The following is a 16146-nucleotide window of genomic DNA, read 5'->3' on the forward strand; positions in this document are numbered from 1 at the left end:
CACTTGAGGTCAGGAGTTCAAGACCAGCTTGGCCAACATGGTGAAACCCCGTCTCTACAAAAAATTAGCCCATGGCACATGGCTGTAGTCCCAGCTAGTCAGAAGGCTGAGGCAGGAGAAGTGCTTGAACCTGGGAGGCGGAGGTTACAGTGAGCCAAGATTGTACCACGACACTCCAGCCTAGGTGACAGAGCGAGACTGTCTCAAAAACAAAACAAAAAAAAAATTGGGAGGGGGTGGGAAACTGAAGGAAAAGGACACAATAGACAATGGAGAGGCCCCATCCAGCCTAGAGCTTCTCCAGACAAGATCCCCTTGGCTCTCGAGATGGCAGATGGAAAGTATTTGTGGGGCTAGGACATAGAGACAGAGCCTGCCCTCTGGAGCTTTTCCTCAAGTGGGCCTGGGGATGCATAAACAAGTAGATAATCATATAGGGCAGTGATAAGGGCTGGGAGGGGAGAAAAAGGGAAGGGAAGTCCATGGGAGTAGCTCTTTAAGACAGAGGTGACCCAAGTAATTGAGCAAGTAAGCGGCCCTCTGGGAAGAGGATGCCCTGGCAGTCCATGCAAAGGCCCCCTCTCTGGACGGGTGGATGGAAGCCGCCGGAGGCCCGTGTGGCTGGAGTGTTGAGAAGGAAGGGGAATGGGACAGGCTCAGGTTGGGCTGGGCTTAGCCAAGTTCAGCAGGTCACCCCTTTCTGGATTTCAGTTTCCTCAAATGAAGGGATTGGACTGCTTCTAAGAATCTTAATCATCTATGTTCTAAAATGCAGAGAAGCATATTAGTTATGATGCTAATGGGGTTCAGGACATGCCAACCCAAAATATGACTATAGGAGACCAGAACATGCCATCCCACATATGCCTCTTTGGCATAAGGTTTATTTTGAGCTGGCTATTTCAAGAAACTGCAGGCACAGGGAAAGCTTTGAAAAACACCATAGAAGTTACCCTTTTGCAAGGGAAATTTAAATCTATAAAGGAAATCTCCATTTGTAAAGGTGTCTGCCTCTCTGCACCAGGAAAAGAAGAGTGACTAAATCACCAGAGACTCAGTCAAGGCAGAAGGCACCAACTTCAATCTGTGTAACAAACCTAACCTCTGGTTTTCCAGTGATTTTCCTGGGCCATCTCATTTTAACCAAGTCTTTCCCCACACCCATCCTTCTTGGTTTCAGAAAAAGTTGGTATTTAAACCTGAAGTCTAAGACCACTCTTTGAGATCTACTAAAGAGACTGACTCGGCTGGGCAAGGTGGCTCATACCTGTAATCCCAGCACTTTGGGAGGCCAAGGTGGGCAGATCACCTGTGGTCGGGAGTTTGAGACCAGCCTGACCAACATGGAGAAACCCCATCTCTACTAAAAATACAAAAAATTAGCTGGGTGTGGTGGCCCATGCCTGTAATCCCAGCTACTTGGGAGGCTGAGGCAGGAGAATCACTTGAATCTGGGAGGCAGCGGAGGTTGCAGTGAGCCAAGATCGTACTCCAGCCTGGGCAACAAGAGTGAAACTCCATCTCAAAAGGAAAAAAAAAAGAGATTGGCTCAACTCCCTGGTTATCCCCCATATATACAGGAAGGATACATATGATTAAACTTTTGTTTGTTTCTCTTGTTATCTGTCTTTTGTTACAAGAAGTCCCGGTAAGAACTCATGAAGGGTGAAGGAGAAAATTATTTTTCCTTCCCTATGATGCCATCTTTAGAAGTAAACACTGACGAAAACCCTAGATATGTGCACACATTCTGTATCCATACACATTACTACATGTGCACTCAAGCAGAGAATTATGGAAGGTTACACACCACCATAGCCAATATGGGCTTCCTAGGAAGAAAGGAGAAGGCCAAATAAAATAAACACCTTATTAAAATATTTCTAAACATCATCATGTTGAACATGATAAATGCATACAATTTTTACTTGTCAATTAAAAAAATTAAAAATAAATAAAATTTTTAAATTAAAAAAAGAGAATGATCCATCCTACCCAAGTACATGCATATGGATGAAATAATTAGAAATGCAAGATAGAATTAGATCTAAATCTACTAAGTTTGTAGGGATACCCATTGCTATAGTGTGGCTATTTTCCCCTCCAAATCTCATGCTGTAATTTTATCTCCAGTGTTGGAGGTGGGGCCTAGTGGGAGGTGTTTGCGTCATGGGGGCAGGTCCCTCAGGAGTATCTTGGTGCCGTCATCCTTGCAGTAATGAGTGAACTCTCACTCTGTTGGTTTCTACAACAGCGTATTGTGAAGAAGAGCCTGGCACCTCTCTCCTTTACTTCCTCTCTCGCCACATGATCTCTGCACACACCGGCTCCTCTTCCTCTTCCACCATGAGTGGAGGCAGCCTGAAGCCCTCACAGGAAGCAGACGCTGGCTCCATGCTTCCTATACAGCCTGCAGAACTGTGAGATTTCTTTATAAATTACCCAGCCTCAGGTATTCCTTTACAGTAATACAAAATGGACAAAGACACCCTTGAAAAAGTAAGTGGAGCAGTAATAAAGTTGCATAGTGATGAGAATTGTGTAATTTTAGTTCAGTAAAAACAAATCTGTCAACAAATCCCTGAACGTGTATAGGCGTTTTGGTCTGTGTGTGTAGAACTCCGAGGAAGGCGTGGCCATGGTCATGTTGGCCATCTCCTTCTTATCTCTGGGAGAGTGGGAGGAGGGGGTGGGAGGAGGTTGCAGCGCCTCCTCTGGATGGGTGGTAGGAATGGGGAGAGCATCGGATCCAGGCTCCATGGGGTCACCAAGGCAGCAGGAGGTGTCTGGAGGCGGAGACATTAGCTCTGTGTTTCCATGTGCCTGTCTCTCCCACACCAGCCCCTGCCGTGCTTGCTGTTTGAGCATGGGGACTCTTGTCTTCCACCACAAGGTGGATGTCACAGCACCATTTATAATCGGAAGGCATTTGTAGCACTTTATTGTTCAAACAAGCATCTCTTTCAAGCACATGGAATGCCATGTGTGGTAAATCCAGTTCCCACCCTCTACGAGGTAACTGATCTGCCATCATCACAGATTGGGTTAGGCTGCTACTGAAACAGACAATGTTGCCATTGTGGGGGCCAAGGCCCTAATTCACCAAATGGGCCACCTTCAGTCTTCAATCAGCATGATAATAAAGTTCCCTCTGTTTTAATCCTTAACCCGAACGAAGTTCCATCTCCCTGTCCTTGTCTCATAAGGAAAGTCACTTTGAAAAGACCAATCTGCTTTTTGCTGTTTGTTTCTGCTTTCCTCAGCCGCCCCCACCCTTTTTTTTTTTTTTGCCTATAAAGCCAACCTCCTCTGCTCAGCTCATTGGAACACTAATTCTTTTTTATGGAATAAAGTATTGCCCAATTCTAGAATTGCAAATAAAGCCAACTGAGGTATTTAAACTAAGTTTGCTGTAATTTCTTCTTTTGACAGATCTGGCAACCAAGGAAGGAACCTGAAAGAGAGAGATCTGACAACCCTGAGACCCCTGCAGGAGCACAGGGAAGGCCCTGCTCGCTCTACCTTTTGGGGAGGTCCCTGTCTTCCTCATGGAGTCCTGAGAAGTTCTGCTCTCTTTTGCATTAGTGCTCTCTGATATTTTTGGCATTTGGAGTACCAAGGTTAATTTGTGCTGTGGCAGGGCACACCACCTTTCGGTTTGCAGTGACTGAGGAGTCACTGTGGCAACAAAACTGTCATTTCTAAGGTAACTGATAACAGTGGCAGTAAGTGGTTATTACTGGAGGGATCCTCTTTATTTCTTCTCTTCTCAATGGTGAGGTCTCAGAGCAAAAGTCATCGTGGCTCTGAGATACCCAAGAGCCAACATAAACATGGGATCTCTAATTTCTAAAGATCTTAGTACTCTGCCTTCTGATATGCCTGCCTTTTTCATGGACAAGAATTATGGCCCCAGAAGCTGCAGATATTCTTAAAAGTGGCAAAGTCTTACTAAAGATAATTCAGAATGACAATGGCTGTTATATGGAATGTTCCAGGTGAACACAAAACTGGTTATCTAAGAAGTGCACTTGAGTCTCAAGCCCCTTGAATTAGGCAGGGAGAATGGGATTATTATTCTAACAGGCATTCAGAAGTCTCAAAGAGACAACAAGATTCTAAAATTGCTTTTTAAAAAATTCACTGTGAAGAGCTAATAAAAAGCTAAAAGTGCAAGGCATCACCCATACCAAGGACAGTAAAACTGACATGACCCCTACTGCTCCTCTCTATCCTATTTTGCCTAAATATTCACAATCTATTAACTTTCTGTCGGAATTGCCTATATTCTCAGAAGAAAACAGTTAAGCAGTTTTCTTATAAGAGAAAACCACCCCAAACTCCAGGAAATAATACTCAAGTGACTTATATTCCCTGGATAAAAATAGAGCTCAGAGCCATAGTTTAAAATTTTCCTAAACCTAGAAAAAACCTACGGAAGTTTTCTGAAGAATTTGGGATCTCAACTAGAACTTGTGACCCTGGGTTATCTGATCTCTACCAACTAACCCGCATGTGTGTGGGAACTGGGGAAGCCCAAACATGGAAGAAAGAGGCAGAATGATATTACCTCACAAGCCCTAACTTATGGGCCAAGCAAAGCCTGAAAAATGACCATTGAAAGCCATTCTTGAAGAGCCTCAGCTCCATGGCAACCAACAACCTAGGGTGGCCTTTGGGTCCCTGAAACAATGGTTTCCAGAAAATTGTTGTCATTGGTGCAAACAACCAGGGCACTGGAAAGGGGGCCGCCCTCACAAAGATTTTGAGGGAAGCTCATAAAAAGAGCCTGCCAGCCCTCTGACAATCTTCGTATTAACCACCAAGACTGATGGGCCTCCAAGGGAAGCTCTGATAAGCTTCCTCCAGTTATCCAGTCTGAGTAGACACCAGAGCCCCTATTTCTACTTTAAACCCCACTCTTACGGGACAACCTCTCTCTTGGAATAAAAAAGAAAAATTCAATTGTGAGGGATATCAAATTGAGTTCTAGGAATGAGCCCAGGAATAGAAAATGCCTTCTTTGCCCTATTTATTCAAGGGCTGTGTCGCGAAGTCAGTTGTCTAATTAACAAACAGGTTTTTTGAGTTGAAAAGACCAGGCTGAGTGTAGTGGCTCACACCTGTAATCCCAGCACTTTGGGAGTCCGAGGCAGGAGGATCACTTGAGCCCAGAAGTTCAAGAGCAGCCTGGGTGACATAGTGGGACCTCATCTCTATTTACAACTAAATAAATAAATAAATGAAAATTTAAAAAAGAAAAGACTATGTATCAACTAAATGATTTCCAAAACACAACTTCTTGGCACTTAGCTGACTTTTAAAAAAAATTCTTTGTAAAAGAAATTTATATCTATGAAGAAAATCTATTTTTAAGGGCGCTTCCCTTTCTATATGTAAATAATTAGGAACTTTTACAATGGGGAATAAATTGGCTTGAAGTTTACATTTAAAAAAAAAATGACTTACCTTTGTATAAGGTGCTTTGGCTGGCCATTTTGCCTGAACTAGGCCTTTACCTATGACCTTTTTTGTCTTGGCAAATAATGGCAAATGGCACTTGAGACTCAAGTGCACTTCTTACATAACCAGTTTTGTGTTCACCTGGAACATTCCATATAACAGCCATTGTCATTCTGAATTATCTTTAGTAAGACTTTGCCACTTTTGAGAATATTTGCAGCTTCTGGGGCCATAACTCTTGTCCCATGAAAAAGGCAGGCATATCAGAAGGCACAGTACTCAGATTTTTAGAAATTAGAGATGTAGGTTCTGTGCCTTTGACATGTAAATTTTCTACCTCTTTCCACTCTTTTCTACCTTTTTAAGAGTCCTGCCTTTGGATGTACAAATTTGGTGTTGCCTAGATAACAACTGTTTAGGCCAATAGAACAGGTAATCAGGACATTAATAGTCTAAACAGGGGAGAGAAACTATTTGAAAACCTACAAATGAATAATCTTATTAAAACTATAAGATCTGCCTCTGTCTGTGTGTCTGTATGTCTATATGTGTTATGTATATGTGATGTGTCTCTACCAAAATATAAGAAAGAGTCATAATGAATTGGCTTAAAGAAAAAGTTAGCACTTAAATATTTTATCAGAAAAAAGAAACTAACCTCAATGCCTTTTTGTTCGTGTGACTTGGGTAAATCTTTGGTAAGTAAGACTAGTTTAATATTGTTGGTTTAATAAAAACAGCTGTGTCTTCTGATCAGCAAAATACTAATGTATTGAACTTTAGCATTCTTGCTTAGGTGGCAACTGTCTATCACTTGCGTGCTGTAAAATGGTTAGCAGGAAAATCATTGAGATGATGGCTAACTTTGTGTAACCAGCAATGTAAGCATAATTGTTAAGAATGAGTAAATTATGTGGATGTAAATGGGATACAAATATATAAATAGCATTCTCATAATTTTAAAATCTTTTTCAGTAACTTAATCTTAAAGTCATGTTATGATTAATAGATATTCACGAAACGTTTAAGGCATTTCTAAGTTAAAACACTGAAACATTAATTGCTGAACATAAGTTTAAAGTATATATGCTTTGTGCTACAGTTTGGATATTTGGCCCTCTAAACCTCATGTTGAAATTTGATTCTTGGCTGGGCACGGTGGCTCATGCCTGTAATCCTAGCACTCTGGGAGGCCGTGGTGGGTGGATCACCTGAGGACAGGAGTTTGAGACCAGCCTGACCAATATGGTGAAACTCTGTCTCTACTAAAAATACAAAAAAAAAAAAAAAAATTAGCCGGGCATGGTGGCAGGAGCCTGTAGACCCAGCTACTTGGGAGGCTGAGGCATGAGAATCACTTGAACCCAGGAGGCGGAGCTTGCAGTGAGCCGAGATCGTGCCACTGCACTGCAGCCTGGGCGACAGAGAGAGAATCCGTCTAAAAAAAAAAAATTAAATAATAGAAAAGAAAAGAAATGTGATTATCAGTGTTGGAAGTGGGGCCTAATGGGAGGTGTTTGGGTCTGGGGTGGGACCCCTCATGAATGCCTTTCCCCCGCCCCAGTGGTAATGAGTGAGTTCTTGCTTAATTAGCTCCTGTGAGAGTTCCCTCACGAGTTGGTTGTTAGAAAGAGTCTGGTACCTTCTCCATCCTTCTTGCTTCTTCTCTTCCATGTGATCTGCACATACTGGATAACCTTTACCTTCCTCCATGAATGGAAGCAGGCTGAAGCCCTCACCAGAAGCAGATGCTGGCATTATGCTTTTCATACAGTCTGCAGAACTGTGCACCAAACAAACCTCTTTTCTTTATAAATTACTCAGCCTCATATATTCCTTTATAGCAACACTAAACAGAATAAGACATTTTATAATCTTTGTTTGTTTGTTTGTTTGTTTTTTGAGACAGAGTCTTGCTCTGTTGCCCAGGCTGGAGTGTGGTGGTGCCATCTCAGCTCACTGCAACCTCCAACTCCTGGGTTCAAGTGATTCTCCTGCCTCAGCTTGCCAAGTAGCTTGGATAACAGGTGCGTACCACTGCATCCAGCTAATTTTTTTTTTTTTTTGTATTTTTAGTAGAGACGGGGTTTCACCATGTTGGCCGGGCTAGCCTGGAACTCCTAGCCTCAAGCGATCCGCCCCCCTCAGCCTCCCAAAGTGCTGGGATTACAGGCATGAGCCACCATACCTGGCCTCTAATCTTGTTTTTATATGGTATGGTGAAGCTAAATATGTTTGGGTCTGTTAGTAAACATAAAAAATTGTTCTATGAGGAATCACATATTTTTATAAATTATAACATGCATGTTTATAAAATGTTAGTATGTGACAGTTCAAAATTTATTTCCTAGGCTTTCACTAGAAATTAAGATTATTACATATTAAAATTTTTAATTAATATAGGTAATTCTGTACACAAAGTGTATTAAAAAAGTAAGATGTGTTTTTGGTGAGAAAATTGTAGAAGGACATGAGGATATACCTTTGTTAAAGAAAAGACTAATTTCATCTAACTTGGAGGTTATTTAGAAGATGTCTCAAAATATGGACTAAGGAAGAAAATAGAAGCAAGGCAGACAGAAACCAGTAAGTAGGAGAAAGTGGTGCAAAAAAATCTATAAATATAAGTGTGTATTTTTGATAGAAAAATGTTGAAAAGAGAAAGTAATTTTTTTTGTATGAGAGAGAATTTTGTGTGGTCATAATGACAGGGGAAAAAAGTATATTTTTGTCTTTAGGTAGAATGATTGGTTATTGTAATATGAAGAAAGAAATTTAGGACAACAAGGTTTAAGCAAGTTGTAGAAGATTTGTGGAAGTAAAATCTTATGAAAGAAATTTTGTGTGTGATCAAGTTGGTTAAAATTGGTTGTGAGGGATATCAAATTGAGTTCTATTAATGAATCCAGGAATAGAAAATACCTTCTTTGCCCTATTTATTCAAGGCCAGTGCCCTGAAGCCAGTTGTCTAATTAAGAAACAGGTTAAGTTGAAAAGACCAGACTGGGTAGAGTGGCTCACACTTGTAATCCCAGCACTCTGGGAGTCTGAGGCAGGAGGATCTCTTGAGCCCAGGGGTTCAAGACCAGCCCAGGCAATTTAGTGGGACTTCATCTTGATCTACAAATCAATAAATAAATGAAAATTTTTAAAAAGTAGAAAAGAGTATGTATCAACTAAATGATTTCCAAAACACAATTTCTTGGCACTTAGCTGTCTTTTTTTGAAATTCTTTGTAAAAGAAATTCTATTTTTAAGGGTGTCTCCCTCTCTGCATCTAAATCATTAGGAACTTTTACAATGGGGAAGACATTGGCTTGAAGTTTACATAACAAACCTTACCTTTGTATAGGTTTTTCTAAAAATTAATGTTTAATATCAAAAAAGTACACTGATGCAAAACTGAAATTTGATTTATTGTGTTAAAACAACAAGGTTTTTGTTTTAAAGTATTCATCTGCTCTTAGTAAATTATTGTGAGATCTTGTAGGTAATTGGCCTAGAAAACAATGATTCTGTTTAATCAAAATAATTTCCTATGTTTCATGTTTTCTTTATTAGGTCATTGATTACTTAGGAAAACAGACACTCATCTCTATTAAAGAGTTGAGGTTTTTGACAATTATGTTACTTCCTGTATTTTCTTTTGAAGTCTTTTAATTATCACTCTGGCTAAATGAATGACTATTATTTCACAGTGACTTGTAATCTTATTTTTGATCAAGTCTTTTGAACTTTTATTTTTGACAAACTTCCCAAAATCAAATTCAAAATTAATTTTTGACCTCAAACTAACTTTTGGACACTCCAGAAGGGCCCCTGGAAGTTCAAAAGAGAAATATTAAACCAATTAGACTTATTTGATATGTTAAATTATGTGGAAAACATTGTCAAATAAGAAATGGTGTTAAATTTTCTTTGAGTTATATTTGTATACATTACTAAGGTGTGCCACAATTGTATGAGATTTCTAGAAATCTGATGTGTTATCAAGTCATAATGTCAGTTATTATGTTAAAATGTTGTACTTTGCAGAAATAACCAAATTTTCCTGTCAATTGCATCCTTTCTATAATGGACTCTCAAAGGCTTTTAACCATTGCCACCTTAAGTCTGGTTGTCTGCAGTTAATTGCTTTATTCTGATGCCTTTCTGAAAGCTTTTTGCAGGCAACTATAATTCTAAAGTATTGTGTCTTCAAGGAGGTTTATAGAAAGAATGGAAAGAAGTCTAACAAGTATAGGCTTCCGATAACTTTGAGATACTATTGGACTGAGTAAGAAAGTCTAAAGTTCAACTGAAGAAACTGATGGGTTTGTGAAACTGCTGAGATCAAACAGAGCAAGAATTAATTACATGAAGCTGAATGAACTGATGAAGAAGAATTACGAGTTTTTACAGCTTTTTAATTTGAAGCATTGTTGGTTCATTTAATGTTTTGTTTTCCAGTTTTGTTTTGTTGTGTTTTGTTTTGTTTTGTTTTTTTGAGACAAAGTCTCCCTCTGCTGCCCACGCTGGAGTAGAGTGGTGCTGGAGTGCAGTGGTGCTATCTTGGCTCACTGTAACCTCTGCCTCCAAGCGATTCTCCTACCTCCGCCTCCTGAGTAGCTAGGACTGCAGACGTGTCACCAAACCTGGCTAATTTTTGTATTTTTAGTAGAGATGGGGTTTCACCATCTTGGCCAGGCTGGTCTTGTACTCCTGACCTCAAGTGATCCACCCACCTCGGCCTCCCAAAATGCTGGGATTACAGGCATGAGTCATTGTGCCCAGCCTGTCTTCCAGTTTTAAGGAAAGTAAGTTTTTTTTTTTTCCCTTTTAAGCTATCTATAGCTTACAGCAATTTTGTGAAGCATACTTTTGTAAACAAAAATTAGAACGTTTGCTTTTCCTTCTTACCTGATACTTCCTAAATTCAGAAGCTATTTGTGAGTATTCTTATTTTTATGGTAATATGGTTATTTGCATAACTTCAATAATAATTTGCTCTCTTTATAACAGGATACAATTAGAAACATTGGTTATACTACCAAGGCTTTGACTGGAATGTCATATTTGAGAATACGTATGGAATGTTAGGCTTCAAGAGTTCCGAGCCTTACAGTGAGTAAAAAGTCATCGCAGGTGCAGGAATCTCAATATATTGGACACTGCAGGCAAAGTCTGATGTCTGCCTTGGTTCTGCTTCCTAGTATCCAGGTTTTTCAAAGTCCCATCTGAGGCCAGGTACAGTGGTTCACACCTGTAATCCCAGCACTCTGGGAGGCCGAGATGAGCCAATCACTTGAACCCAGTTCAAGACCAGCCTGGGCAACATGGCAAAACCCGTCTCTACAAAAAAAATACAAAAATTAGCCAGTGTGGTGGCACATGCCTGTAGTCCCAGTTATTTGGGAGGCTAAGGTGGGAGGATCACTTGAGCTGGGGAGGTCAAGGCTGCAATGAGCCATGACCGCACCATTGTACTTCAGCATGGGTGAGACAGCAAGACTCTGTCTCAAAATAAATGAACAAATAAAAGTCCAATCTGAGATTCTTTGTCAAAATATGCAACAATGCAAATTTAAAAGGAGCCTATGTGGTTACTCTTGCTGCAATTATATAATTAATTATGTAAATAAGGTCAATGAGACTAAATTTATTTTGCAAACAAATTAGTTTTACTCTGTTGATCTTTGGTATAAATGGGGGTGACTATAAGACAAAAATCACATTTTAGAAGAAAGCTATAATACACCTATTATAAAACTGTGGCCCTTTTCATTGTTTTTGAGATTTTTTTTTTTTTTTTTTTTGAGACATAGTTTCGCTCTTGTTGCCCAGGCTGGAGTGCAGTGGCATGATCTCGGCTCACTGCAACCTCCGCCTCCTGGGTTCAAGCAATTCTCCTGCCTCAGCCTCCCGAGGAGCTGGGATTACAGGTGACTTCCACCACACCGGGCTAATTTTTGTATTTTTAGGAGAGATGGGGTTTCTTCATGTTGGTCAGGCTGATCTCGAGCTCCCGACCTCAGGTAATCTGCCTGCCTCAGCCTCCCAAAGTGCTGAGATTACAGGCGTGAGCCACCGCACCCAGCCCCGGCCTTGTTTTTGAGTTTTTATTATCTGTCTGTAGACTGGACTAGATTCTAACTTCTTCTAATTTTCTCCAATATCTTACAACTCTCCGACTAAAACCAAAAACTGCTCTGTTTCTGAAGTCCTATAAGGTGAAGCTGGACAACTTGATATAAATCTCAAGGGAACGTCTCATGCCCTTGATGTGTGAGCCACACAGAGTTCCCTAGAACGTGCAATGCCACAGTCAGAGACGTTCAAACTGGAAGCCAGGACAACAAGATGCTGACTTAAAGCTGTGGACAGCCTTCTCCAAGATGGCAGAAGAAGACTCCATGTCATAATGACTCTTACCCCTTTTAATTTTTTTTTACTTATGCCTGCCTCTTTCACTTGGCAGGATAATGCTGCAGTTAGAATTTCACAATCCGTATCTTCTGTGGGTAACTGGATGGAATGTTGAACCTGTCATATCAAACCTAAATAGTTACAGGACCTAACAAATCCTCTAGTCCACCTAGTGGGTAACTTCAGCAACATCCGTAACACAACTGTTTTTTCAAATTGTATTTGTGGTCTCTTTTCCAGAGGTAGCACTCTCTTTTTTAATTTAACCTACTCCTGGGAAGCTAGATGTTAGAATTGCTATGTAACAACGGAACAGGGAGGAAGCTGTGCAGTTGCTGACATTTCTCGTTGTACATAGATGAATACATCAGGTAGCGTAGAGACACGGCTGCAAAAAATCAATACACAGCCACTCAAAATGTGTAGAGGACTCACAGGCTCATTTTTTGATCTATTTGATTTTAGTTGGTTTGGTTATAGGGTTGTCTAGTCTTTTGGCTTACCTGGGCCACATTGGAAGAAGAAGAATTGTCTTGCACCACATGTAAAATACACTAATGCTAACGATAGCAGATACAAAAAAAAAACAAAAACAAAAACGCAAAAAACATCTCATAATGTTTTAAGAAAGTTTACGATTTTGATTTGGCCCAGGCTTTGAATGTGGGCCTCATTCAAAGCTGTCCTGGGCCACAGGTAGGACACACTTGGTTTATGAGGACCCTGGCTAAGGAGCATACTCCATACTCAGTATTAAACTCCTTATCGTCACAATAGTAGTCTCCTTGGTGCACTGTATCCTCTCAAAAAAGTTTTAAATGTTTGCACGCAGCCATCCACCAAATGTCAAATGATCCCTTTTCAGCTGGAATGACAAAAACTCAAAGAAATGCATTATCATGAGGATACCATAACCTGTGAGTGACACGCTGAGACTGGAAACACAGAAACTGAGAGGAGTGCTAATAGTTCTGGTCACTCTCTCACCTAGGTGACAGCCTGACAAAAGGGGGGAATTATTAAATAAAAATTAAAAGAGGCCATTGCTCTTGGACTAAGTTCCTGCTCTAGGCCCCAACAGACCAGACTAGAAATCAAAATGGAGTCACCCATGTTAAAGTTCCACATCACCAAATGGAAACTAAGTTGTTACCTGGCCTTCTGGGAAATCAGGAAAGAGAGATAACAGCCTAATTTACCAAACACGCCAATTTCAGTCTTCAGTCAGCATGATAATGAAGTTCCCCTTGCTTTAATCCTTAACTTGAAATAACCTGATATTAACCAATCCATGAGTTTTCTATTTTTTAGTCTCCCGGTCCCTGCATTACAAGGAAAGTAACTTTGAAATGACCAATTCAAGGCCGGGTGCGGTGGCTCACGCCTGTATTCCCAGCACTTTGGGAGGCAGAGGCAGGCTAATCACCTGAGGTCAGGAGTTCGAGACCAGCCTGACCAACATGCAGAAACCCCATCTCTACTAAAAATACAAAAAATTAGCTGGGCGTGGTAGCACATGCCTGTAATCCCAGCTACTTGGGAGACTGAGGCAGGAGAATCGCTTGAACCCAGGAGGCAGAGGTTGCAGTGAGCTGAGATCATGTTATTGCACTCCAGCTGGGTAACAAAAGCGAAATTCTGTCTCAAAAAAAAAAAAAATGACCAATTCAATGTTTGTTCCTTGTTTCTGTTTTCTTCAGCCCTTTTTCTGCCTATGAAGCCAATCTCCTTTGCTCAGCTCATTGGAATTAACTTATCTTTTTTTATGGAATAAAGTATTGCCTGATTCTAGAATTGCAAATAAAGCCAGTTGAGGCCTTTAAACTAGATTCGTTGTCATTTGGTCTTTTCACAGTCATCACTGGATCCCCAGCTCCAAGAACACTGCCTGGCACACAACTGTGCTATGCGCACACGTTTATCTTTATTAAAGCACCTCAGTGGGCTTGCAGAGAAAAATAACAAAGAACCGTTCTGAATTTCCATAAACATTTTACTAGCTGATAATAAGATTGTGCTCACTTTTCAGTCGGGGTTCTAAAATTAAATTAAATCTGTGACTTTTTACAAGGGTATTTCTTTAATGGCATGAAATATGTAGAAAGCAAAGAATTTTCTAGTGAAGAGGCAAGTGCAACGTCATCACACTTCACAGATATGGAAACTCAGGCCCAGAGAGGTGGAGCAGCTGTCCTGTGGCTACACATCTGAACTGGGGTTTGGACTAAGGATTCCCAGTGGCTCTTGTTCATCACTCCCGATTGCTCTCAGATTAGCTGCTCCTGCAGTCCCCAGGCGGGGAATCGAGGTGCGAGCGAGGCCTGTGTATGGCAAAGTGCAGCTGGATGGTACCACTCGGGGTAACTTGCGTCTTCTCTAGACATTTACCTGTGTTCATTTGGGGGAGCATTTCCAAGGACACAAATAGACTGATGTGGAAAAAAACCTATAACTTTTCTTAGTAGCTGAGATAACCCTGGGGATGGAGCTGCTTTAAAGGGGGCCAGGGGTCCAGGTCCCCAGGGAGGTGGGCGGCTGCTGAACAGCCTGCCAATCATGGTGGCTTCGGTTTACGGCTTCTGATCTGCTGAGTACTGAAATCTCGCCTGGGGCTGGTGTGCCTGTGGCATTGCTGGGACCAATTAAAATACAAAACAAAACAAACAAAAAAACAAAACAAAAAATGTCAGCAGAGGCTGCGAAGAGAGAGGTCAAGGAGGGACAACAGGGAGGCACAGAGATTGTGCAGTTTGTCTACTGTGTTCTCAGCCTTCCCCAAGATTTCCATAACAATGTGTCCTTGTGGGGAATGGGGCAGTCCAGGCTGACCCCAAGGGTCTAACAAAGGGACAAAACCAAGAGACAACTTTTCTGAGTCAAAGATTCTCAAATGAAATGGATCTGAATGGTAGGTGCGAGGACAGCAGGACCCGGCTCCTTGATCTTGGGAAATGTGTTAATGAGCTGGGGGTGTGCAATGAGGTTGCGCTCACACCCTCCAGCTCCAAAGGGGGTTGGGGGCTGGGAGCCTTCTGGTGGCCTGGCTCGGGCGCAGCTGCACCCTGCGTTGTGTAGGAGAGAACGCTCCATCCTGATTATGTAAATCAAAGTCCAACTGTCAACATTATGCACTAGCAAAGAATTCTCCTCTATGATGATGTGAATTTCAATGGAGCTTCAAGGCCTCCCTCAGTGGAGGAGTGGCTTTGTTCCGTGAAAGGAGGAAAGGTAAACTCTTCATCAAAAACTCCCATGCCTCACCACGAAGAATGAAGAGACAGAAAAGCAGCTAGTGAGTGGCATGCACCTGTCTATTTCAGCAGCCTGTCATCTGTGCAGATAAGAACTCTCCTGGCCTTGGTGCTGTAAGGGATGCTAGTCACCTTACCCCCTAGCAAATGTGTGTAATCTGCACAGAAACCTGTGGGGAGAAGGAGGTGGCTGGCTGATTTTTGCCAGCACACAGACACCACCCCAGGGTAGCCTCAGTTCTGCCGTCTGTTAGACAGCTGGGTGGTCTGATGGTTCCCTAGGCATGCTGGGAGCCAGGCAGCCAGGGTGGGCACCAGGTCTCCTCCTCCCCTCCCCGCAGTCCTGGGCAACCTGCAGATGCCCTGCACAGCACACACGGCAAGAGTGCAACCCACCCGTGTCCCTCCAAGCTGCAGTGGAAGAGTGGAAGAGTGACCTCGCAGGTCTGAGAGTGGCTGGTTCATGTGAGATGCCGTGACCAACCTTTCTAAAGTGGAAAACACTCAAGTAGCCTAATAGCCAATGTCCCAGATCTACGTGGAAGGGAACTGAGGGCTGGGGAGGCCAGGCAAGAAGCAAAATCCGTGAATGGCCAGAGGGAGACTCTATTGGCTTTAGGGTGGGGGCAGGCAGGAGAAGGTGGCTTTCAGGACCCCTGAGAGTTTACCCTGGTCTCTGAGGAGCCACCGGTAGCTACTGCTGCAAGAAAACAACATCCTGGCTTAGCTGAGGGGGGCGGGTGTGTGTGTTCTCTGGCCGTGCTTAAGAAACCAAGTTTTTCAAGTATTTCAGCAACTACAAAGGGCTCTGTTTAATGCAGCATGCATAGGAACCAAAGGCTGGCCCCCTGAGCCTTTGAGGATAAACTGGGAGCTGCCTGGGTCCTTGGGGTGCATGGCTGCTATAGCTCGTCATGTGCATCTCTCTCTCTCTTTTTTTTTTTTTTTTTGAGACGGAGTCTTTCGCCCAGGCTGGACTGCAGTGGCGCGATCTTGGCTCACTGCAAGCTCCGCCTCCCGGGTTCAC

General features: G+C 42.1%; 1 protein-coding gene across 1 annotated transcript in view, besides 1 other annotated feature; it reads right to left on the reverse strand.

Annotated features, from left to right (window-relative positions):
• Positions 1-16146, reverse strand: part of TRPM1 (transient receptor potential cation channel subfamily M member 1) — a 160096-nt gene that overhangs the window by 132410 nt on the left and 11540 nt on the right. The gene's annotated exons all lie outside the window — the stretch shown is intronic.
• Positions 14500-15133: an enhancer, noted in NCBI's record as "NANOG-H3K27ac-H3K4me1 hESC enhancer chr15:31440177-31440810 (GRCh37/hg19 assembly coordinates)". NCBI's record gives its function as "activates a minimal SCP1, AML or CMV promoter by ChIP-STARR-seq in naive H9 embryonic stem cells {active_cell/tissue: H9 hESC(naive)}" and the evidence as "EXISTENCE:reporter gene assay evidence [ECO:0000049][PMID:30033119]".

This window comes from Homo sapiens, chromosome 15 (genome assembly GCF_000001405.40).
Source record: "Homo sapiens chromosome 15, GRCh38.p14 Primary Assembly".
NCBI lineage: Eukaryota > Metazoa > Chordata > Mammalia > Primates > Hominidae > Homo > Homo sapiens.